A 24,067-nucleotide genomic window follows, 5' to 3' on the forward strand; every position below is an offset into this window, starting at 1 on the left:
TCAATATGGCAACTCCTCAGATGTCTGGGAAGAGGGATCATCACCCAGGCCTGGGAGCTCTGCGCAGTTTTGTCTGCCTTGGCTCCAAAGTGCTCTTTGCCCTTAACACTGCACCACTGTACAGATTCACACAGCTGGCACTAGCTCCACAGTGGCTAAGGTTGTGCTGCTTAGGACTGACCTGGAGGAGAGGGGAGAAAAAGATGGTATTAGTGGCTCCCTTTCATGTCAACAGGTTCACTGAAAAAGGAGCAAAGGGCTTAGTCATGTTTTAATGCTCTCAAAGCTTACTATGTATCCAGGATATTTTGGGTTATATTTAGTATTTGATTCACGTTTCAATTATTTTAGCAGTAGACAAAGCAAAAGCTGAGTGAGTCCCATGCAGTAAAATCCTAAAAGCTTTTCCCAACCTAAAGACAGCCCATAACTTTCAGCTTACATTTTACATGAGGAAAAACAAATGTTTCAGTGAAGCGTCCCAAATTCTTAGAAGAATCAGAGATAAGAAGCTCCCGCCAGCAATTTCAGTGTCCCTGGCCCAATTTAGTGGTTTGTGCCTTGGCAGAGCTCCTACTAACAGGACAGAGGACTCTTTGGGAAGACAGAGCCCATTTGAAAGGCGAGTGTTATTTATAAATTATCTCCAGATGGTCCAGTTCCTACAATTCCTACGTTGCTCAGACTCTCAGAGTGGAAATTTTAATCATAGACTGTTTGAGGTTGATTTGGTCTAAGCGAGGGACAATTTTGAGGATTCAAACGACAAAAAGAAGGCAGAAGAGTTATCTCTTGAGACTGCTCTCCGGAGACCTGCCCTTGCTTGTGGAGCCTTAGTTAATCACCATTTGTTTTCTGCTTTGCAATTCACAAAGCCCTTTTCTCAGAGTTTCAGACAGGCCTCCTCCCTTTGCACCTGGGAGAAACTACTGAAAACATCCTCCAGGGTAGGAACCACACTGAATATTTAATTTACCTTTTTAAAACATCTAATACATATTAGATGTATAGATATTATATAAAAGACACAGGTTAGGTATTAGAACTCCAATCCTACCTGTTTCTCTTAAGCACGTCCCCACATCAGGAACTGTTGTCTGATCTACACTTAGCCTGCCTGCCTACCTGCCTTCTTTCCTTCCTTCCTTCCTTCTTTCCCTCCCTCCCTCCCTCCCTCCTTCCTTCCTTCCTTCTTCTTTCCCTCCTTCCCTCCTTCCCTTCCTTCCTTCCCTCTTTCTGTACTTCAATCTTTCCACCAGTCAGTCCTTCCATTATTTCTTTCATTTATCCAGCAAATGTTTATGAAGAACTTACTATGTGCCAGGGATGGGGTTAGCTATGGCTCAGAATTCAGAACACACTTTATATCTCAGTGGAGAAAGAAGTAGCATGTGAGCCCTGCCCACCACAGACCTCTGCAGAACCTCATGAATTCCAGCCAACATATGACAGTCCACATATGCAAAGGAAAAAACCCTTGCCATGCTTACGTCTACCGTGGTGAATGCCAGCAAGACTCTGGGGAAAGATTATCTGTCCAAGTTTATGAAATTAAATGTGCCCTTGGAGTGGGGGTGGGGGTTCTCTTGGGCCTGTAGACATCATTTAACTGCTTTAATAAACCCGTCCTGGAACTTCCCTATCATGGTACTTCTTCATATCTGAGATAACTTCCAATTTTAGGTTACCTTTTCCTTTACTTTCAGCTAAAAGCAGCATACCAGGTGCATGCCTCAAATGGATTATACCATAATTCAGGAGTTGGCAAATTATAGGCCTATGAACAGCTGTCTGTTTTTGTTAAGTAAAGTTTTATTGGAACACGACCTCATCCATTCTTTCAAGTACTGTCTTTGGCTGCTTTTCCATTACAATAGCAACATTGAGTAGTTGTGATAGAGGCCAAATGGCCCTTAAGCCTAAAATTCCTCTATTTGGCCCTATAAGAAAAAGTTTGCAAACCTTTGCCATTCTTGAACATGATCATTCCTTTTGTTGTTGGATATTGTTTTTCTAAGCTTCTCCAAAAATCATCTTTTTAAGCAAGGTTTTAAACCTGTCACTTGGCCATATTCTTGCATATAAAACCAAATGTTATAAATCGGGAAAGAATCCAATTAGAAAATAAATAATGCAGGCATGGAAGTAATTTACAATAATCTTCTAGATCATCTGGGATCTTATTAGAGTCTGCCAAAGGTTGCGGTCAATGCGCAAGATTACATTTTCCACGTATAAATAAGTACAGGTAATTATAATAACGAATTCAAAACTACAGCCTAATCCAGGAGAAGAACAAGAAAAAATGTGAGTTTTTTTTTTCTCATTTTAGGTTTAAATCAGCCAAACTAAACTTCCTCCTGGGCTGAAAGATGTTGCTGGAACTCACATCACAATGAATATTTTTACAGCTGAGGGAGAAAGGGCCCTGAAATGAGTATCCAGGAGGCCCTCCTTAAGCACCCTTGCTTCAGAGTTCTGCAAACCAAATGTTGGGGAGATAACGACTATTGGTTAAATAAGGCACAATCAAAGTCTGTCATGTAAATAGAGCCAACTATATATTTGATATTTTGGCTTGTTGCCATATTCTCTCGCTCTCCTAAAGAAGAAAAAAAAACCCTTCTTGTTAGAAAGTTCCCTGGGATGGCTGAAGTTGCCTTCCTTTAAACTACTGGGTGGCAGGCAGCTCTGCAGTTAATTAAAATTGTGGCTGCACAGGTTGCAGGAAGGAGCAAATAACTTACTGAACTTTGTGGGAACTTCAAGATACAGTGGCCCCAGCCATGCATTTCTCCTTGCTTCTTTAGAAGCTGCTTACAAACCTTCCCCTTGGTGCAGAAAGAACAAGATATTCACGTCTCCTAAATGTTTGGGGGGCTTCCAGATTGTCCTCAGGTCAAAACCTGTCAAATAAACTGGTGAGGTGCATAATGATCTGAACAATCTTTGTGGATGAGCCGAGCCTGGTTCTTTTGTCAGGGGGAGTCATCTAGGACGAGCTTGGCATCCTGGACAAAGTCCAGAGTACACAGCCCCTGAAGGCAATGCTCCATAAATGCCCAGGATCTGGCGATGCTCTACACACACACACACACAATGCCAAGTGCAGCAAAAACATCACCACTGAACTCTCGGGAAAGCAACTAGACAACCACTGACTGCAACATATTAGACTCAGAGTGTGGACAATTAGAGACAGAAAGTTTCAACTTTATGAATATTCAACAGGAACCAATGAAATTGTTTTTGGAACGCTCCCATTTACAACTTCCAGCCCATTCCACAGTTATCTTCCTTCCAAAACATCTGATATGGGAGTCTTCCACTTCCTTTCCCAAAGAATGCTGGATGTGTGCTAAGTTTTCCATCTCAACCATGTAAATCAATAACTTTTGCTCCCTGTTTCTTAACTGAGAGAGATATTAACATCTGTGACTGAGAAAGTACTCAGTTTATTGAAGGGTTTTAACCTTTATAATAATTATAGTAATAGGAACATTTATAATTAACTGAAGTAAGTAAATTTTTCAACTTAGGAAAGAACAGTTAAAAGTTGGGCACCTTTCCTTTTTTTAACTTGAAAGAGTTTTGATACATGTTATTCGCTATCTCATTATAATTTTGACATATAGCCTTGTCAATGGGTAGAGAGAAGTACTATTTATTTGAAAGCATGTGAAGCTCAAAGTGATTAAATGATTTAGTAATGTTGCAATGCCTTCTTGTTAGCCATGTTTATGGTTATTATTCTATGCTACTACATCTTTTCAAAAGACAAAAACTTACAAAAATTTAGAAAATCACTCATTGTTTCATAACTTAAAAAGAAAAACACTCAACCAAAATCACTCATTGTTTCACAACTTATAAAAGAAAAAGACTCAACCAAACAAAGATAAATAAGGACATAATTTGGCGGGAAAGTGTGGGTTTAACTGTCAGAGCTATGTAACTAAAGGGATGCTTCAGGAAATTTACCTGGCCCTCTGAACCTCATTTTCTCATCCATAAAATGGGTATAATAATATCTACCAGGCAAAATTGTTGTGGGAATTGGGAATAAAATACACAATGTCCCTGGAATACGGTGGACCCACCACAAATGGTAGTTATTCACATTTTGGAGTGAACGGCATTAAGGCATCAGGCGTTTGGATTTTACATATGATTAAAAATATTTATTATACATTATGTTCTATTATAAACATTTGTCTCTTTATAGACTTACATTGCCTAATAAAAAGTGCATATAACATTTCCCATGTAAATAATTCCTATTACCAGACATATAGGTAGTTTCCTATCTTTACTCTTACAGATAACATTGTGATGAAAATCTTTATGCATGGTTGGGCGCGGTGGCTCACACCTGTAATCCCAGCACTTTGGGAGGCTGAGGCAGGTGGATCACCTGAGGTCAGGGGTTCAAGACCAGCCTGGACAACATGGTGAAACCGTGTCTCTACTAAAAATACAAAAATTAGCCAGGTGTGGTGGCACACACCTATAATCCCAGCTACTCAGGAGGCTGAGGCAGGAGAATTGCTTGAACCCAGGAGGCAGAGGTTGCGGTGAGCCAAGATGGAGCCATGTACTCCAGCCTGGGCAATAAGAGTGAAACTGTCTCAAAAAAGAAAAAAAAGAAAAGAAAATCTTTATGCATAAAGCTTCATCCACATTGAATCCTCAGGATCAGTTTCCTGAAGTAAAATTTCTGGGTCAAAGGGAATGAAGCGTCTAAAGGCCCATGATTTTTGGGGCCAAACTGCTTTATAGAGAGATTCTGCCGATTCTCATGAGCATCAGCAGTCGGGGGAGGGTCTTCTCACCTCACTCTCACTAGTCTCTGTTTCTGTCATTCCAGAAGTCTGTGCAAATGTGATTGCAAAAAGAGCATCTCCTTTGTTCTGATTTACATTTCCTTGGTTGCTGGTGAGGATGACTCCAAATATTTAAGTTTAATTACTAATTAATTATTCTTTTTTCCCCCATTTTTGGGGTCTCATTTTTTTTCCCCATAGATTTGTATGAGTTCCTTATTTATATGAACAATGTTAACCTTGCTGAGGTACCCAGCCACCTAAATCAAATGGGCAGGATGGGCCGGGAGAAATAAGGCAGAAATGACTGTAGAGGAACCAGTATAGGGGCCATTGGTGACATACTGGGCTCTCAGTAAAACTGAGCCCCATGATTTCCTCAAACTCTCTGAAGGTATAGAGCACTCAGAAAGTGAAAAAAGGGGAAGAGAGTCACATCACTAATATTTGTTGAATATTAAATATGACTATTTAATCTCTTATGTGCCACATATGTACTGTGCAATGATTACCTGTGCCAGTCTTTGTTCTAAATGCTGGGGATATTATAATGAAGATATGGGATGGGGTCTCCACTTTCATGGAGCTTATTTATCAAATGTTTCTTGAATGTCAGGCAGATTTTTAGAGGCCTTCTAATCCATCACCTCAAGAACTCTATGTGATATTGTTATTTCCTTTTTTCGGATAAGAAAACTGAGCCTCAGTTGGGTTGGTTTAGAGCAGAGATCAAGCAGTTTAGTACTGGAGTCAGGATCTGAACTCAGGCACTCAGGCTCCAGAGCCCACAAGTTTCACTATCCTAATAAATAAGATAAAAGCTTAAGTACAGACAGTCTTTGCTTTGCACCTTAGTGCAGGATTGTAAGAATGACCTTGCAGGCTGGGTATGGTGGCTCACACCTGTAATCCCAGCATTTGGAGAGGCCCAGGAGGGCAACTCATCACTTGAGTCCAGGAGTTCGAGACCAGCCTGAGCAAGATGGTGAAAGCCCGTCTCTACAAAAAATACAAAAATTAGCTGGACATGGTGGCATTCACCTGTAGTCCTAGCTACTCAGGAGGCCGAGGTGGGAGGATTGCTTGAGCCCAACATGTCAAGGCTGCAGTGAGCTGTGATGGCACCACTGTACTCCAGCCTGAGCGACAGAGTGAGACCTTGTCAAAACAACAACATCAACAACAACAACAACAACAAACAACAAAAAACACCAAAAGACCATGCAGAAACCTCACAAAGAAATAATCATAATGGTCCCATAACCTTTAGAAATATTTGTCAAAACATTAAAAACTCTCTCATTATCGGTTATAAATGTATAAAGAAATGAAAAAAATGGTAAAACAAATATTTATTTAGCATACTGTAATTTTACAGATTAGAAATGTTGAGAATTGTGTTATTTCTTTGTAAAAAACTTACCAAGAGTAGTCTGAGAAGTGCATTCTGTATTCTTTCATGAAATGCTCAGTCAAGTGCAGCCACAAGAGGAGACAGAGGAGAAGCTCAGGAAAACAACACTCACAGGTCCTAGAGACAGGAGACAAACCACACCAGGCAGGGCCACGTGGGGTAGCCTCAGGGTGGTCAGGAGGCAGAAAGCAGGGGTACAGGGAAAGCCGAGGCTACAGCCTTTATTGGGGTTTCCCAGCAGGGCAAGGGCAGTTTAGGACTGGCTAGTTTGAATCATTTCAGCAGGCACTTAACTATACGGGTGGTCTTTAGTTGCCTGGTTCCTGGCCTTTGGTTGACTAAGGCAGAGGAAAAATGTTGCCTCCTGAGGTGCAGGGGCCACATAGAGGAGAGATGGCTCTAGGTTGGGCAGTTTGCGTATCAAAGGCACACTCCCAGCTGAGCCCTTTGCTGTGTCTAAGGATTGGCCAGCCCTGGGAGGGGCAGTCAGACAGGTTTTTAAGATATTAAAACATCATAACATACAGAAAATAAAAAAGATAAATAATACACAGTGTTATCTTTTTGTCATACAACTTACAGTATAGAAAAATATATTTTCTATGCCCTGGTAAATTGTTACTCTCCTTTCTAAATTTGAGTGAGCACCCAACATTTAATCTTTTTCACTTTTAATTCATGAATTAACTCTGAGAGTTCCTTTAATGTGATTTTTAAAATGTAAATTTTAATTTTTTTTTTTTTTTTTTGCTGGCGTCACTTCCTCTGGGATATCTTGCTCCTTGTCCTCACTTTCCTCATTTATGTCAATAAGGTCACCTTCGCCAAGTTCCTCTGGCTGCCTATGTAAAGTCTAGGATGCCTGAGTGTTGACATCCCAATCTCAGCTATATCTTCTCACCTCCATTTATGTTGGATTTGAATCTCACTCCCTGCGTTCTCATTTTTCATTTCTTTGCTTCACTTTCATTTTTGCTGGCCACTTACCTCCATTGATTGTCCATTTGTGTAAGATGGCACATGGGTCATCACAGGAAGACAAGGAAGCACAGCGACATACTTTGCTGTCTGTGTGTGAACCAATAACAGGGTGTGGTGACCATCACTGGCAGACTTTGAAAGAAGTGATGTGAGTGGTCACTGACTGATCATAGTGCTCATATTTACAAAAGTGATGTGTGTCCTGAAGAGCTAGCAGTGAAGTCTGTGCTTCATGCAGGAACTGACAGTTCATAGACCATGGTGAATGAAATCTGAACCTTGCCCTTGCGGGGACTGCATCTACTTAACTAAACTGACTAAAGGGTCATGATTGAAATTCAAACATATTGGAAGCCCAATATGTTTGCAGTATGTTTCCCATATTGGCAAAGGAAGAACTATCTGCTTCTCGGTACTGAATCTTGCACAACTATAACAAGGAAATGATAGCACATTTTAAAGACGACGACATGGATTTTATTTTGTCAAGTTGTTTTTTTCCATTGTGTAAACTAGCAGGGTGTGGCCACAGCAAGCACTATTGTTTAATCATTCAGTTGAAAACTCAGCCCACACATCTCTCCTCACCCAGTGGACCTGCTCTTTTAGGATAATTCCATCTAGCTCACAAAGCCGTACTGAAGATATTTCCTGTCTTCATGCAAAACACTTCCATCATCTCCCTGCCCAGGGGAGGAAATGGAAAGAGAACGCTTATCCATCACAACAGGATATAGAGCTGTGGACCTGATTCTACCCCACGTCTCTGATTTAATGTGCAGTCCGAACCCAGGCACAAATCTAAGCAATACACCATATGTGCAGGCCCCAGGGGAAATCAGAACAAGCCTGAAGGAAGTTAGGCGAGAGAGCAAGCCCAGAGACAATGTATATTCTTTGCTACACATTCCATTTCCTTTGGGCCTGGATTCCATGGGTTTCTCTGTATGTATCAGTGTGCATGTATGCTTGGAATGTATCAGTACATGTATGTATCAGTGTGCATGTATGCTTGGAAGATTGGTTTATGAAGGGCACAGAAGTCTGCATCTGATTCATCCTGGTGCATACGTGATTGCAAAAGTGAGAAGAGGAATATCAGGAGGAGGAGGTGCATGAAAAGGGGAGAGTGAGGTTCTGGCAGGATCATTCAGAACGCACACTAAGGCCAATATGTTCAGAAAGGAGTGTGTAGTAAGGAGAAGAGTGTCTTAGTTTGGGTTTCCCAGAAGTTGGTCCTGAATACAGGAAGTTAATTTGGGGAGTAATCCCAGTAAGACCAGGAGAGTGCAGAAATGAACCAAGGACGACAGGGAAGCAGACAGGATATGACAGGGACAGGTTATGAATGCGGACACTTGGGGCTCAGTCACCCTGGAGACCTCTGTGTGGCGATTCAGAACATGCTGCCAAGTTGTCTCACCCAAGGGATGAGAAAGCCGAGGTATTTACACACCAAATCCCATCCTGGTTGAGGGCTGCTTGCTGTCGATTGCCTTTTCAGCCCTTATGGCCAAGCCTGCATATGCAGAGCACACTCTCAGGAGGCCAGGGGGAGCCTAGAGGCAGACTCACAAATTCTTACAGTACAAGGCCATCTGGAGTGCACAAAATGGGAAGTAGCCACAGGTACTGGTAGGGCACCAACAGGGCCTGCTATTAGGTTCTGAATGTGGTCTGGGCACTGCTGTAAGCACTTTGCATGTGTTAACGTGTGAGATGCTCACAACAAGCCTACAAGATAGGTCTTGTTATCACCATTTTATAGATGTGGCACAGAGAGGTTAAGTCACTTGCCCAGGCTCACAGGCTCTATGGAGCCTTAGCATATGTGTTACAGCACATTGGCAATGCCCTCCGCAACGCATGCTTTTATCTTCTCTCTTTCCTTGTTTTCCCGCAAACTCTCCTAGGTTTTTAAGGCTTATGATAACTGAAGAGCATTTGTTGGTGCTAGGTACTTTACATGAGCAGGATCCCCAACAACATAGGGTACCAGCCACCCCTGGACAGTACACCTGAGCTTATATAGAAGGAAGTACAGTTCTCTTATTTAAGTCACTGTGCTTGGGAATCTCGTCATCACCATGAACACACAGGGTAATGTTGGAGTTCTAAGCACGGCTCTGGGACACCAAACACAGAAGGAGATATGTGGACCCAGCCCTGCTGCAGCAGTGAGACCTTATACAGGAGGGGCTGAGTCAGTGTCTGAAGACATGCATCCCACCCCGTCCTGAGTGCTTCTTCTCTTGCTTTGATTAAAGGAGGACTCAGCCTCTTGTAGATTTCCGTTCCTTGTGGAGGGAGCTGATACAAGAGACAACATGATTGAGTCTTCTTTGGCTCCCCCACGAGTCACTGCTTGAGCCTGCCTCACCAAACCAGTCCTGAGGTCTCAGTGCACAGAGCTGTCAGCAAACCTCCCGCTCCCTGTTTGTGTTGGCTTTTGTCACTGTGCCATGGAGGTGTTGGCTAAAGCTGTTTACTGGCTTAATTTAAAAACACCTCGAGGTGTTCTTAAAATTCTGCTTTGAGCAGCAATATGGACAGAATGGCAATGAAGTCAGAAAGCAATGAAGATAAATAGAATATAACCAAACAAAATTATCATAAAATCACATGGAGTAGCTTAAGGGAACTTTTGAAAAAGTAGATTATTTAAATATAATATTACACACATATATCTACACATACATAGACACACATATATGTATATGTATGCACATACCTGTATAATTTCAGGAGATCTTATTGTCTTCATGGAGCTCATTTATTCATACCATAGAGGTCAGGCCATGTTCTAGGCTAAGTGCAACTCTGAAGCACGTTCTTCCAGACCAAAAGAACAGAACAAAGCACAGAAGACTTAAAATATTAGTTTTATATGCATGAAAAATAATGGCATCAAAAATCAGACTCCTATGGCAAAAGCCACCAACATGAGCTTTCTTGATTATTTTTATGGGGCCAGGAACCATTTGATAGCGGAATGTGGGTAAAACCAGGCGATATGAAGTGAGGAGCTAAAAATCGGCTTACGTAGCATTGTCAGTTGCCTAAACTGAATGTCAAGAGAAAAACCTTAGAAAACTGCTTGTCCAATCTCCAGGAAACAAAGGCTCAAAGAGGAGAAGCTCATGGAGCTATTTGGTGGCAGGGTGACAGCTAAAAGTCAGCTCTCCTGTCTTCAACTCTGCACAACACTTCACGGCTTCCCTCGTTCAGTGTTCTTAATTTGTCACAGTGCACTGCAACACGACATTGAGGGAAATTCCTAAAACTTACAATCCCTCCTTCTTCCTCACCCTATTTCCTAGAGTCATGCCACATAGCCACTTTCCCTACCCAACCCTGGCCACAGGTCCTGGCCGGCTGTCTTGGCTCTATGCAGGTAAGGGTTAGTCAGAGGGGAAAGTGAAGAGGGAAGTCAGGAGAGGAGTGGGGTAAGATTCTCTCTGCAAGCGGAGAGGCTCAATTAACAATGACAGAAGAAGAATTCCAGCACTGTCTCCCTTCCGCAGCCCAAGAATAACATCCAGGAGTCAACACCTCTGCCTCCCACATGCTAACACACAGTCTCTTTGTCTTGTGTTGAACCTTTAAGCACTCCAGAACCCAACTTCTATGTTTTCTCTCTCTCAAGGGTTGAATGGATTTAATAAGCATTTCTAAAAGTCACCTGAGAGTAGGCTTGTGAACCAAGGCAGATGTAAGCTCTCTGGGTTTTGCTCTTTCTTTGAGGTGACTCTATAGAAGAGAAACTCACTGGAACCAAGGTACTAACATTCTTCAGCCTCTAAGTAGGCACAAATTCTCTCATCAGAGGGATCTATAGAAAGCCAATATTGATGGGGCATGAGTTCCTTCTGTCTAGAAAATAAAGACCTTACTCCTGATTGAGCTGGTGGGGAGAGGGCAGGAATGTACAAAGTCTGAGATACAACATTATGTTGGTTAACAGCACCCATTCCCAACTCTCACTCCAGCAGCATTACTTAATGTAATATTTGTTCATTGCTTAAATTATTATTATAGCTTCAGAAAACGCCACGAGTGTATGATCATGATTATTATCTGGTTGTGGTTCTAGCTTACAACGTAAAAATGTAATCACATGGAATAAGAACCCTCAAAAGACAAGAAATGGAGGAAATTAACATGTTACACATCAGCATTGGTCTTTGTCTGTTTTTTATTAAGTATGTTCCCAAAGCACTTCATAGGGGAAACTAAAGACACGTGGAATGTTTAAAGAGCACTGCACATCCAAATCATTTGATTCCCAGCTACAAGTCATTAGGGTGATATTATTAACCTCAAGCACACTTGGGAAATGTAGGTAAAGGACTGACAAATTTGGAAGGTCTAAAGTAGAGATTACATTTGTGCAATTTCAAATTTTAGCTAAATGAGTATTTTAAAAGCAAAGTATATTAGGTGGTTTCTGTGTGCCAGATACTGTTCTAAATGCTTTCTATATATTTTATTTCAGTATCATAAAAATCCCATGGACTAGGTACTATTATTAATCCCACTTTACAGTTGGGGAAATTGGTGTTCAGCATGGTTGGTAACTGGCTCAAGGCTACTGAGCTACTTAGGTGGCAGAGTCAGGAATGTCTAACTCCAAAATGTAGGCTTTTAACAAGTATGTTATATTGCCTCTCAATACCTAGAATACAAGGGTAATTAAAAAAATAAGACACAAGAATTTTTGAGATTATTCATTCGTTTTGTGTATGTTTAGTGATGGTGTGTCTATGCCAGGAACTACACATGAGGAGCTGAAGATACAGTTGAAAACTGACTAGGTTCCTGCCCTGTGGCATTTACATTCTAATCTAGACAGAAAAAAATACATAACCATAGAAAAAAATAAAATTAATGTAAGCTGTAGTAAGTGCTATGAGAAAGACAAAGATCCTGATATATTAAATAAGGAAGGAGGACTCTCTTAGCATAAGTTCTCTGTGGAAAGCTTGGCAAAGAATTGCACATAGGTGGTTTCTTTTGGGAAGTGATCACAGGGAAGAGCAGTGGGGACTGGGGGAAAAAAAAAAGAAAGAGGAAAAGCTGAAACTAGGGTGCATTCTCAAGTTGGTCACTGCTGTGTGCCATGGGAACAATTCTGCCGGGACACCAAAGAGTAGAGGAGAATGCACCTCAGAACTGTCCAACCCATAGAAGGAAGAGATAAACACGGGTCCACCACCTCCCAATGGTCACGAGTTGTTCATTTCCTCCCGTTCCTAGGCTGTGCGTGCAAAGCTCCCATCGCAATACCAGAGAAATCCTGGGCCAGAAACTGAAAGAAGCCAGGTACAGCTGAGGCCAGGGGTTGCCAGGTACTGTCACCCAGACAAAGTTTGTTGCTACGATGGCTGGCCAAGAGGTGGGCTGAGTGGGCTGTGAGGACACACAAGGTGACCAATACAGAGACCTGTGTTAGGGGGCTGTGTCAGAGAAAGCTTCCCTGTGGAGGTGGCTTTTGTGATGAGATTTCAGGAGGACAAAGAGCTAAGCATGGTGAGAGCTGAGAGAAGAACATTTCCAAGCATAGGAACCAGCCATTGAAAGGCCCTCAGAAAGAGGTAGCATCTTTCAGGAACTGACACCCAGGGTAGCTGTGATAAGGAAAGGTGAGAAGCAGCCCAGGATGTCATAGGGGTGCAGTGCCAGGTCACACAGAGGCTTGGAGAACATGATAAGGATTTCATTTCTAGTGAATACAAACTCATTGAAGGGTCATAAAAATGCACTCTATTAACCTCCAAACAAGGGATCACAAGAGTTTCAGAGCTGAAAAAGAACCATAGGTGTGAAGCTGAGAGGTCATTCTATACAAGAAAGAACAAACTGGTTGATAGTTCCATTGGCCAAAGGTCCATACTGGGGCCAAGAACAAGGGCTTCCCTCAAAGTCAACAGGGCCAAATTTGTTGTGCACTGCTGAGTTGAGGGAGCTAGTCCGTAGTTCCAGTCTCTGACACAGAAATTGTTGGTAAGAACAACTGAGAACCAAGGGTGGGATGGGATGAGGGTCGGGACTCGATGGATAATATTTGAAGAACTTCTAAGAGTCAGGGTGTCTTACATTTTATTTTATTTTATTTTTGAGATGGAGTCCCCCTCTGTTGCTCAGGCAGGAGTGCAATGGCATGATCTCAGCTCACTGCAACCTCCACCTCCCAGGTTCAAGCAATTCTTCTGCCTCAGCCTTCCAAGTAGCTGGGACTACAGGCACACACCACCACGCCTGGCTAATTTTTGTATTTTTAGTACAGCCGGGGTTTCATCATATTGGCCAGGCTGGTCTTGAACTCCTGACCCTGTGGTCCGCCCACCTCGGCCTCCCAAAGTGCTGGGATTACAGGCGTGAGCCACCCTACATTTTCTTTGGTGCCAGCATAGATCATTGCTTTTAAAGAAAAGTCTCAAATCTCTAAGACTTGGGGTATTAGAACTCTGAAAGAGACTCTTGTACTGGGAGCTCCTGAGTCTCCCCACTTGAGCTTCAGTTTTATCTTCCTCTGATAAGTCTTTCACTTTGATTTCTCCTGTATCTGCTGTGCTGGGCCCAAAGGAGGTATTAACATTCTGGTCCAAGCCTCAACAAAACCCCTTACCCTTGAGATATTTGTTGAACAGGAATTGCCTATGTTTATTTAAACATATTTGCCACATGATTAATGAGCAACATAAAACGCTTACACCTGGGAATCATGAAACTTGTAATTTCCATGCTCCTTGCCTATCTGACCTTTCCTTAGCTCACAGGTACATCAATACACATCCTGTCTCTGTAATACCTTTGGTGGTTGTGTTAGAGCGGACTAACTGCTTAACAAGTCCCAAATTCCAGTGACTTAACACAGCAAAGTTTATCTTTCATTCTGGTCACATTCCCTTACAGAGCTACTGCAAAGTTCTATTCCATGCAGTCATTTAGGAATCCAGGCTCATTCCTTCTTATGGCTCTATCCTCTTCTGAGTTTTTGAAATCTTCTCCATTTGGCCAGTGTAAGGCAAAGAGCACACGTGGAAAAGGCACCACTGCTCTCAGGTGAGGCACATCCACTCTGATGGAAACTAGTCTTACAGCCCACCCTGGTGCACAGGGATTAAGAGGTGTAATCTATTGGGATCCCAAGAATAGGGGACCTTGGGTATTGTGAGCACCAGCAGCCCCTACCACAGTGGTGGAGGAAAACAAAGCACTATTAACCTTCCAAGAAAAATATGGAAGCTGCACATATGCTTTATCATGTAATATAGGCCAGGGTCAGGGGAGTATGCTTGGCTTCCTAAAGTGCATGCAGAAACAATGTAGAGTACACATTGCTATCACCAGAGCTTAGAAGAAACTCAAAGAGCCTGGGCGCGGTGGCTCATGCCTGTAATCCCAGCACTTTGAGAGGCCGAGGGGGACGGGTCGCTTGAGGTCAGGAGTTCGAGACCAGCCTGGCCAACATGGTGAAACCCCATCTCTACTAAAAATACAAAAATTAGGCCAGGCGTGGTGGCTCACGTCTGTAATCCCAGCACTTTGGGAGGCCGAGGAAGGCGGATCATGAGGTCAGGAGATTGAGACCATCCTGGCTAACACGGTGAAACCCAGTCTCTACTAAAAATACAAAAACAAAATTAGCCAGGTGTGGTGGTGGGCACCTGTAGTCCTAGCTACTAGGGAGGCTGAGGCACGAGAATGGCGTGAACCTGGGAGGCAGAGTTTGCAGTGAGTCGAGATTGCGCCACTGCATTCCAACTTGGGCGACAGAGCGAGACTCCGTCTCAAAAAAAAAAAAAAAAAAAAAATTAGCTGGGCATTTTGGCGCATTCCTGTAACCCCAGCTACTTGGGAGGCTGAGGCAGGAGTATTGCTTGAACCCAGGAGGTGGAGGTTTTAGTGAGCTGAGATTGCACCATTGCACTCCAGCCTGGGCAACAGAGTGAGACTCTGTCTCAAAAAAAAAAAGAAAAAGAAAAAGAAGAAACTCAAAGAATATGATATGTATTAGGACAGCAATTTTAAAAATATTACTACACTACTTATTCCAAATAATAAATATTGAAGAAATTTTAAGTGAAATATATTTAGGCGTCTTTTTCTCTCTCTGACTCTTTAGAAATTGTAAAACTTCTGAGCCTGCAGGTCTTCTTTTTTCCTTTTAATTGTGGTAAAATACACATAAAATTTCCCGTCTTAATCAGGTGTAAGTGTACAATTCAGTAGTATAGAGTACATGGCATGGTTGTGCAACCAATCTCCAGGACTCTTTCCATAAACCCAGAATAATTAGTTAACAGTCAAGAACAGGAATAAAATCTAGATTTACACCTCCCACATAAAGATCATAAACATTTCTTTAGAGTGACAATAATGTTATTTTGCCTAAAGCTTGATTTTCAGTATATTGATCATTATCGAGCAATGTTATTTATTATTTTGTTTTTTAACTGTGGTAAAACTTACATAATGTAATTTGCCATCTTAACCATTTTTAAGTGTATAGTTCAGTAGCGTTATGTGTAGTCACATTTCTGAGCAACAATCTCTAAGACTTTTTCATCTAGAAAAACTGAAGCTCTTTATCCATTAAACAATTCTTTCTTCCCCCAGCACCTGGAAACCACAATTCTACTTTCCGTCTCTTAAGAATTTGACTACTCTAGGTACCTTATGTAAGCAAGATTGTATGGTAGCTGTCTTTTTATAATTGGCTTATTACTTACTATAATGTCCTCGAGGTCCATCCATGCTGTAGAATGTGTCAGAATTTCCTTCCTTTTTAAGGCTGAGTAATATTCTATTGTATGTATATATCACATTTTGTTTATTCATCTACCCAGTGATAGACACTTCGGTTGCTTCTACCTTTTGGCTATTATGAGTAATGCAAGAGCAGCCGTTATTAAGGTAAGTTTTGAAGATGGAGAATCACAATGAACAACACACTCACTGGTGTGTGCGTGTGTGTGTGTGTGTGCGCGTGTGCACATGTTCATGCTCTTGTCACCTTCCTCCTACTCACAGACTCAGAGTGTGGCAGAAAACTAATAATTGAATCTAGGACACTTGATTGTACCATTTTCTTTACTCCCATAGGACAGGTTCTTATGTAATGAAAGTATCTCTTAAATTTCATCTACTAAAATGATAATTTTCTGAAAGAATATGGGACATTGTCCAAGTAAAGGGGTTTGAAGTTGCACTAGTTAATTACTCTCAGAGTTAATCCCTCAATAAGTTACTTGTAAGTACCTATTTGGTATTCTATTCAGCGGAGGTTCTGGTACATAAAAACAGTGCACAGTCCTTTCCCTGGTCATAGTTTAGGTATAACGTAAAATACTAGGCTAACACTTTCAAATGGTGTCTACTGAACATCAGTGTTCAGTGTGATGTTAGTAGATGCTTCATAATAATAGCGTTCCATGGTCAAATATGCTTGACCATGGAACACTGTGATACAATTTTTAAATTTTTATACAAACACAACTTAATTGAGGCCCAAGCACAGGGGTGATGGGGTGGGAGGGGAGTATGTCTGTGTTGAGTTCAGTTACGGGAGCGATTTAGCATCTAGTCAAGGCAGAGAAGTCAATCATTGAGCAATCACTGGTAAACAAAATGACAACTCATCTAGATATCACACATTATAATTTTCTCGAATTAAAATCTTTCTATTGGCAACTTTCAAAACTCTTGTGCATCACTGGGCTCATTAGGTAAACTGTGTAATGTCCGGGTGTCTCATGGTGGTAGATTTCTAGCCCATAATGGTGCCAAAAGTTGCCCACCCATCAAACGCACCTCTTTCACCACTCTCAACTTTAAGCCCCCGGAGTTGTAGATGTATCTCTCATGGGCTCACTCTTCTAGAAAAGGTGGGCTTTTCTGGACATAGTCCCCCAAACAATGCTGAGGCCCATGCCATGAGGGCCATCACCCAGGGGATAACAGGGAGGTGAGGGCCTTCCTAGGCTGTGACCCTAGTGATGCAGGAGCAGCTCTCTTGCAGCTCTCACTGAGGCAATGTCTCCCATGACCTAAGCAGAAATGCGGAGGAATCCCATCCACACTCCTGGAAGCCGGAGAGCCCTCTCTCCATAGGACGCATCCCTAACCCTTGGGGAGGGCCTTGAGAACAGCTGCCACAGAGGTGAGGCAAAGCTTTACCTCCACCCACTTAGGGTCCAAGCTAGGCCTGATAATTAAATTGACAGACGAACAGGACAAAAGCATGCAAATTTACCCTCAGTTTTGCATGATACAAGAGCCCTCATAAGAAAATAAAGACCCAGCTTCATCCATGTCCCTACAAAGGACATGAACTCATGATTTTTATGGCTGCATAGTATTCCACGGGGTATATGTGCCACATTTTCTTCATCCAGTCTATCATTGTTGGACATTTGGGTTGGTTCCAAGTCTTTGAAGCTGGAAACCATCATTCTCAGCAAACTATAGCAAGGACCAAAAAACCAAATACTGCATGTGAACACATGGACACAGGAAGAGGGACATCACACACTGGGGCCTGTTGTCGGGTAGGGGAAGTGGGGAGGGATAGCATTTGGAGATATACCTAATGTTAAATGACGAGTTACTGGGTGCAGCACACCAACATGTCACATGTATACATATGTAACAAACCTGCACGTTGTGCACATGTACCCTAAAACTTAGAGTATAATAAAAAAAGAAAAAGAAAAAGAAAATAAAGACCCAAAGAAATAGCAAAACCTACATATATTAGGTCAAACAAAGGGAGGCAATCATGGAAAAGTAACTTAATTATGTGTAGAAGCTGAAGGAAGATATGAATTATCTTAACAAGGTTTGTTTGTACAAAATTCTCTTGGCTATGACTCCCCATCAAAGAATGTTTCTTTTCTCCTGGCACAGGGAAGGAATCTTTTTCATGGCAGCTTTTATCTCCTGTTTTCAGGAAGAAAAGGGGAAGATTAGAATGCTCATCTTGCCTCTGCTGTTTTGCAAGTGTCTTTCACTTGACGTAATCCCTATGTCAAAGTGGCATATTTTGGGGTGGCATATTCTGCCAGCCTGCACCAGTTTGACCTCTTTGTCCCTCCCTCACCCTGAGCTCCATCTGAGTGCTAAGCACAAACCTCCCCTTCACTAGCTCTTTTCCCCCAAAGCAAAGCAACCCAGGCAGACAGCTGCCTATGGTCCCAGCCCGATCAGTCCCTCATACCGCCCCTGCCATGTCTGAGTCTCAAGTTCATGTACTTTTTCCTTTTGATCTTCCTTCAATATCATAAGCTCCCCGAGGACAGATGAGCTTGTATCTTATTTGTCCACAGCACAGAGTAAGTATCACAGTTTTTCACTGACTGACAATGAATGAATAAAGGAGCAAAGGCATCTATCTAAACAGTTTCCTTGGTGACCTAGTGATTCCAGGCCAGATAGCAGAAAGCTGCCACATTGTTTCCAAAAAGTTAGACAAGTAGAGGTTTTATTTACATGTTACCTTGTTTCTGAGCTCTCTAAATCTGTCATCTTTTATCTACAACTAGGGTTAATATTCACTAGCCATATAGTATGAAAACCCTTATCAGATTCCAGTGGTATGACTGTTTGTGTTTTCTACTCAAATAATAAGATGATTTTTTAGAAGGCCAACCTAGGTCGCTCTTCCGTGTCCTGGGGCCGAAGCAGCAATAGAAAGCCTGGTAATCGGACACCTTTTGCCCCACAGTGTCACCCTGAATGAGTCTTTTCTTTCCGTTCTCTCTTTGCTTGGTCTTTTCCAGACTAGCTTTCCATTTCACAGCTTTGCTAAACATTCAGGTCAAGGTCAGAGCAAAGGGACTATCTCAAGGTGGAAGGAACTGAATTTAGCCACATAGGGCCTCTCCCTAATGAAAGCATTCAGCACCCAGCCAAGGAATCTATCTATCTTTAGATTCCAAAGCAGAAAAAAGGAGAAAAAAAAACTCCCTTAAGAAAAATGCCAGTTTTGCTTTGCTTCTGCTCTAAGCCAAGCCTGTTTCAGGTTCCAAGGAGGTTGCTCCTTGCAGAAGGGAACGTGCTACAGAACACATCAGAAGACCTGAATTCTATTTCTGGCACTCACTCTGATATTCTGTGACCTTATCCCCGGCTACTTGAAGAGCTTTGTCCTGCCCCCATACCCACCCTCTGCCATCCCCTTCTTATTGCAACTTTGTGTGTAAGTGTGTTAAGACTCAGGGAAATTCTCCAAAAGCTCAAACTCAAGTGATCTTTATTACTTGGGGCCACAAGTGCCAACCAGCCTAGAGGGGTTCCTGGGAATAGGCGGGCGGATCACGAGGTCAGGGGATAGAGACCATCCTGGCTAAAAAGGTGAAACCCCAGCTCTACTAAAAATACAAAAAATTAGCCAGGAGTGGTTGCACGCGCCTGTAGTCCCAGCTACTCGGGAGGCTGAGGCAGGAGAATCTCTTGAACCCGGGAGGCGGAGGTTGCGGTGAGCAGAGATCTTGCCACTGCAATCCAGCCTGGGTGACAGAGAAAGACTCCATCTCAAAAAAAAAAAAAAAAATGCTGGCTTCCTGCCTTGTGATGTGGCAGGACTTAGTAGGCAGACTAAATCTGCCTACTAAGAAGTAGACATGGAGATACAGAATCTTCCACACGGAATAGATTTTACCAGTTACCTGGAAGCACTGGCATGCCCATAAAAATCTCCTCCTTTGAGAAGCCATGGAACTCTGTTCTGCCATCTACCCAACATTCTAGAAATTTACTTGCATCCTCTGAGAACCATCTGTGGTACTGGCATCCGCAACCTGTTGATGCAAAAACATGAAGCTTCTAGTGAGGAGGGAACAAACCCCTCTCTTTTGGAGGTATCAGTCTTAGTGTACTTTGTGAAAAGGGAAATGATCATGTGAAATAGTAGATGGCATTTTTCTGACGCTTTGCACAAACCTTGATTTCACATGGTGCTGTAGCTGTGTTGCTGGAAACAGTATAGCCTGGAGAGGGCAAACTTTGGAAGAGACCAGCTGGGTAAAATCCTGACTCTACACTAGGTACTGTGTGGCCTTGAGCAATTTATTTAATGTCCCAGTTTCAGTTTCTTGTATACAATAGAGTTTCCAAGTGGACCTAATTAATCATGAGTGTAAACTGAGAAAATGCCTGTACACTGCTTAGCACAGTGTCTGAACACATCAATTGCTGTATGAATGCTATTAGCAATAATATACATTATTAATAGTTATTAATAAATAGCACTTTAATTCATATTAAAATTAAATATTTTAATTAATAACTATTAAAATTAATGAATATTATTAATATTAACACTACATTATTATATTATCTGTTAATAGATAACATTATAAATAATATTAATAGTCCAGCCAGGCACGTTGGCTCATGCCTGTAATCCCAGCACTTTAGGAGGCCGAGGCGGGTAGATCACTTGAGGCTAGGAGTTTGAGACCAGCCTGGCCAATATGGCAAAACCCCATCTTTACTAAAAATACACAAACTAGTTGGGCATGGTGGTGCACACCTGTAGTCCCACCTACTTGGGAGGCTGAGTACGAGAATTGCTTGAACCCAGAAGGTGGAGGTCACAGTGCCCCGAGATCACACCACTGCACTCCAGCTCCACAGAGTGAAACTCTGTCTCAAAAAAACCTTAATAATAATAATAATAAGGCTTATAAAAAATAACCTAGGGAATTCATTAATGATGAGCAAATGGAAGTGATTCAAATAACCCTTTTGTGGCCCTAAAATATCCTGATAGGTAGCTATTTTAGCACGTGTAACATTCCATTGTATTCTTTATTTCTTTATATCTCCACTATTCCAAAGCCTCTCCAGGGCAGGGAATTCTCTCTTTTACTGTAATGTCACAAAGTCTCCTCTATTACCTGTCCTATATAAATGTTGTTGAGTAAATGAAAAGTGAAGCCATAAATTAATGAGTGAAGGAGTAAGCAAGTAAACAAATACTCATTTGAAGGGAATATTTTTTGCATTAAACCAAAACAACTGTATCTTATACAAACTATTTCTAAAAAGATAGCATTTTCCTTATTTATTATGAACTATTGCCAACTTCCCTTCCCCTGTCTCTGAGAAATGCAAAGTCCCTGATTTAGAGTAATTTCTCAAGAGTTGTTTAGGGGTTGTCTTAGTCAGCTCAGGCTGCTATAACAGAATATATATTGTAGGCTGGATGGCTTCAACAACAGACATTTATTTCTCCCAGTTCTGCAGGCTGGGAAGTCCAGGAGCAAGGTGCCAGCAGATTCTGTTCCCGATGAGGGCCTTGGTCCTGGCTTGCAGATAGCTACCTTCTTGCTGCGTCCTCATGCAGGTGAAGGGAGAAAAGGCTCTAGTTTTGCTTTCTCTTCTTATAGAGACTAATCTCATCACGGAGCCCCACCCTCATGCCATCATCTAAACCTAATTACTCTCCAAAGACCCCCCTCTAAATTCCATCACATTGAAGGTTAGATTTTCAATATCTGAATCTTGGGAGGATGCAAACATTCAGTCCTTAGCAGGTGCTGGAAGTATTAACACAGTGCCCAAAAACGATAGAATATTTTTGGTAGGATGAATCCACTTTCAACCCTGGAAGCCAGGCATTTCAGAGTGGAAAAGAAAAGAGAAGCAATAACTGCACAAATAAGCATCTTATTAAGGAAATCACTAGGTTTTTGAGGGCTGCACATTCTATGCTTTCTAAAGGATGATGTCTCAGCAGGCGGAACGAAGCTAATCTTGCCTGGCTGCACTCTTCTGTTCTGGCAGGGGGCTGGTGCCGCTCCCTGCAGATGCCCACGATGCCAGGCAGCCTGGTTTAGTTTGTGGAACGTGCTCTAATCCGTCAGCACAGCCACAGTAGATACTCTGAAAACTAAGAGAATCACCTTCAGCAGCTTATCGACTAACCACAGGCCCTTATCTCAAATGGGAACTGATTCAAACCGTTATTCAAGCTTATTCAAATGAATTTGAGAGTCTACTAACAGCCCTGGCTACATAATTTGCCGGGTGCAGTTCAAACTGAAAATGCAGGGTCCTTTTCAAAAATTATTAAGCATGTCAACATGGTGTCAGTAGAGCATCCAACTAAGCACACGTCGGCTTCTGAGCACAGGTCACAGGCCCAAAAACCCAGCCATGCCAAGCAATGACTATCCAATAAGTCAAACACCAGGAAACCCCAACCCCTCCACAGCCCTGCGGCTGCTGCAGCAGAAAAACAAAAACAAAACAGACACTCAACACCATCAGCATCAGCTCTTCCCAAACCACCAGCCTTCCTCAGAACCTCCCTCATTTGACCTGTTTTAACTCGTGTTCCCTCGACCTTCAAATTTTCAGTGTCCACAAAGCAGATCAAGGCTATCACAAAACAAAACAAACACCAAAAAGCCAACCCACTGGATCTAGAGACCTACGGACTTGCCCTCCTGATACTTGCAGCTGGTGTTTAAGGACGTGCCTGCCTTGGGCGATGGGCGGGTAGAAACCTCACACACCAAAGCCCATCGAGCTAAACTCAAGGTTGCGAACCCCAACCCCGGTGGGAACACGGTCTGCAGACACGCTCCCTTAAGTCCCTGTCGCACACAATAAATTGCTTTCTGAATATTCCCTTTACAACTGCAAAAAATAGAAATGGCTGTAACTGTGCAGAGAAAGAAAAGAGAAGCTGGGATGAGCTCCATCAGGGGCCGAATCTGCTTCTCGCTGGTGGATACTGTGATAAGAAACCTAGATCTGAACGGCCTCACAATGGCCTATTTATCCGGCTCTTACGCACGGCCGGCAGCCCCGGCTGGGAATCACGGGGGTGGCAGCCGTCCCCGGAAAACGGCGGCATTCCGACACAGGAAAGCCCGCGGATCAACTGATCTGCAGACAACGCTTCTTCCTTCCTGGGAAGCGGCCACAAAGGCAGCCAGCTGACCCCGGCCCAGCGCGGCTCCCGGCCGAGGAGGACAGGGGCGGGGTGGGGAGGGGGGGAATCGTCGCCCGCCCCGCCCCCACCCCCCAAGTTTCCTTTGGCAAAAGCATCCCAGGCGTGGTTCAGGCAGAGTCCACGCCAGCGAGGCTGGGGCCGAAACTCTCCACGCCAGGAAGGCGGGGTAGGCGGACCCGCCGCCCCCAGCCCCGCGCGCCCGCCGCGCCCCCCACGGCCCCCACCAGCTGGCTCTTCCGGCCGGGGCGGCCTTGGCCTGGGGCTGGGGTTGACTTTGGTGGGGGGACAGGAAGGACTGGCACAGCGCCCGCGACTGTCCCCTGAGGAGGACCCTCCCTACGACTTTTGGTCAAAAGCAAAAAGAAACACAGACATGTGCGTCACCCCGGGAAGCGCGCGGGGGTTTCGCTCGCGTTTCAGGAGCCGACTTCGCATCCTCCCTCGGTAGGGGGGTCGGGGGTTCCTAAAATTTACCCCCCAACTTCACTTCTCTGGCGACAGAGCACCTTAACAGTTCATTTCCCTCTCGCTCTCAAGTGAAAACATCTTATTTTTGTGTTAAAATGTATAAAGACACCATGAGAATTGGCAGGAGGTCAAACCGTAGATTCTGAGATGCTCCGGTCGCTCCCCAGGAAGCGCTGTTTTCGGAAGTGTTGACCCAGCAGCTGGTCCCTGCTGCTCTAATGACACGATGTGTGCTTTCACTTTTTCACTCCCAAAACGACGTGGTTTGGAGTCTTGAGAGCCTTGGAAATCGCTGCCCGTGGAGGGAAAGGTCTGGAGAGGCCAGGCCAGGAGAGCAGACATGCTGCAAGAAGCGGAGGCAGCCCTGTGAACTCGCCTGGCTCCGCAGGGAGGGGCGAGGCTGTCCAGGTC

The 24,067-nt window shown here is 43.2% G+C and overlaps 1 long non-coding RNA gene across 1 annotated transcript, besides 2 other annotated features; it reads right to left on the reverse strand.

Annotated features, from left to right (window-relative positions):
* Positions 1-32: 32 nt before the first annotated feature.
* LINC01948 (long intergenic non-protein coding RNA 1948) lies at positions 33-24,007 on the reverse strand. The gene is made up of 5 exons (NR_104664.1): positions 23,791-24,007; positions 9,950-10,050; positions 7,225-7,305; positions 6,247-6,354; positions 33-181 (listed from the first exon to the last, which is right to left on the reverse strand). It is a non-coding gene; the product is annotated as a long intergenic non-protein coding RNA 1948 (long non-coding RNA).
* Positions 22,406-22,575: an enhancer, noted in NCBI's record as "active region_22565". NCBI's record gives its function as "activates an Ori minimal core promoter by ATAC-STARR-seq in GM12878 lymphoblastoid cells {active_cell/tissue: GM12878}" and the evidence as "EXISTENCE:reporter gene assay evidence [ECO:0000049][PMID:35858748]".
* Positions 23,776-23,935: an enhancer, noted in NCBI's record as "active region_22566". NCBI's record gives its function as "activates an Ori minimal core promoter by ATAC-STARR-seq in GM12878 lymphoblastoid cells {active_cell/tissue: GM12878}" and the evidence as "EXISTENCE:reporter gene assay evidence [ECO:0000049][PMID:35858748]".

Source organism: Homo sapiens, chromosome 5, assembly GCF_000001405.40.
Source record: "Homo sapiens chromosome 5, GRCh38.p14 Primary Assembly".
Lineage (NCBI taxonomy): Eukaryota > Metazoa > Chordata > Mammalia > Primates > Hominidae > Homo > Homo sapiens.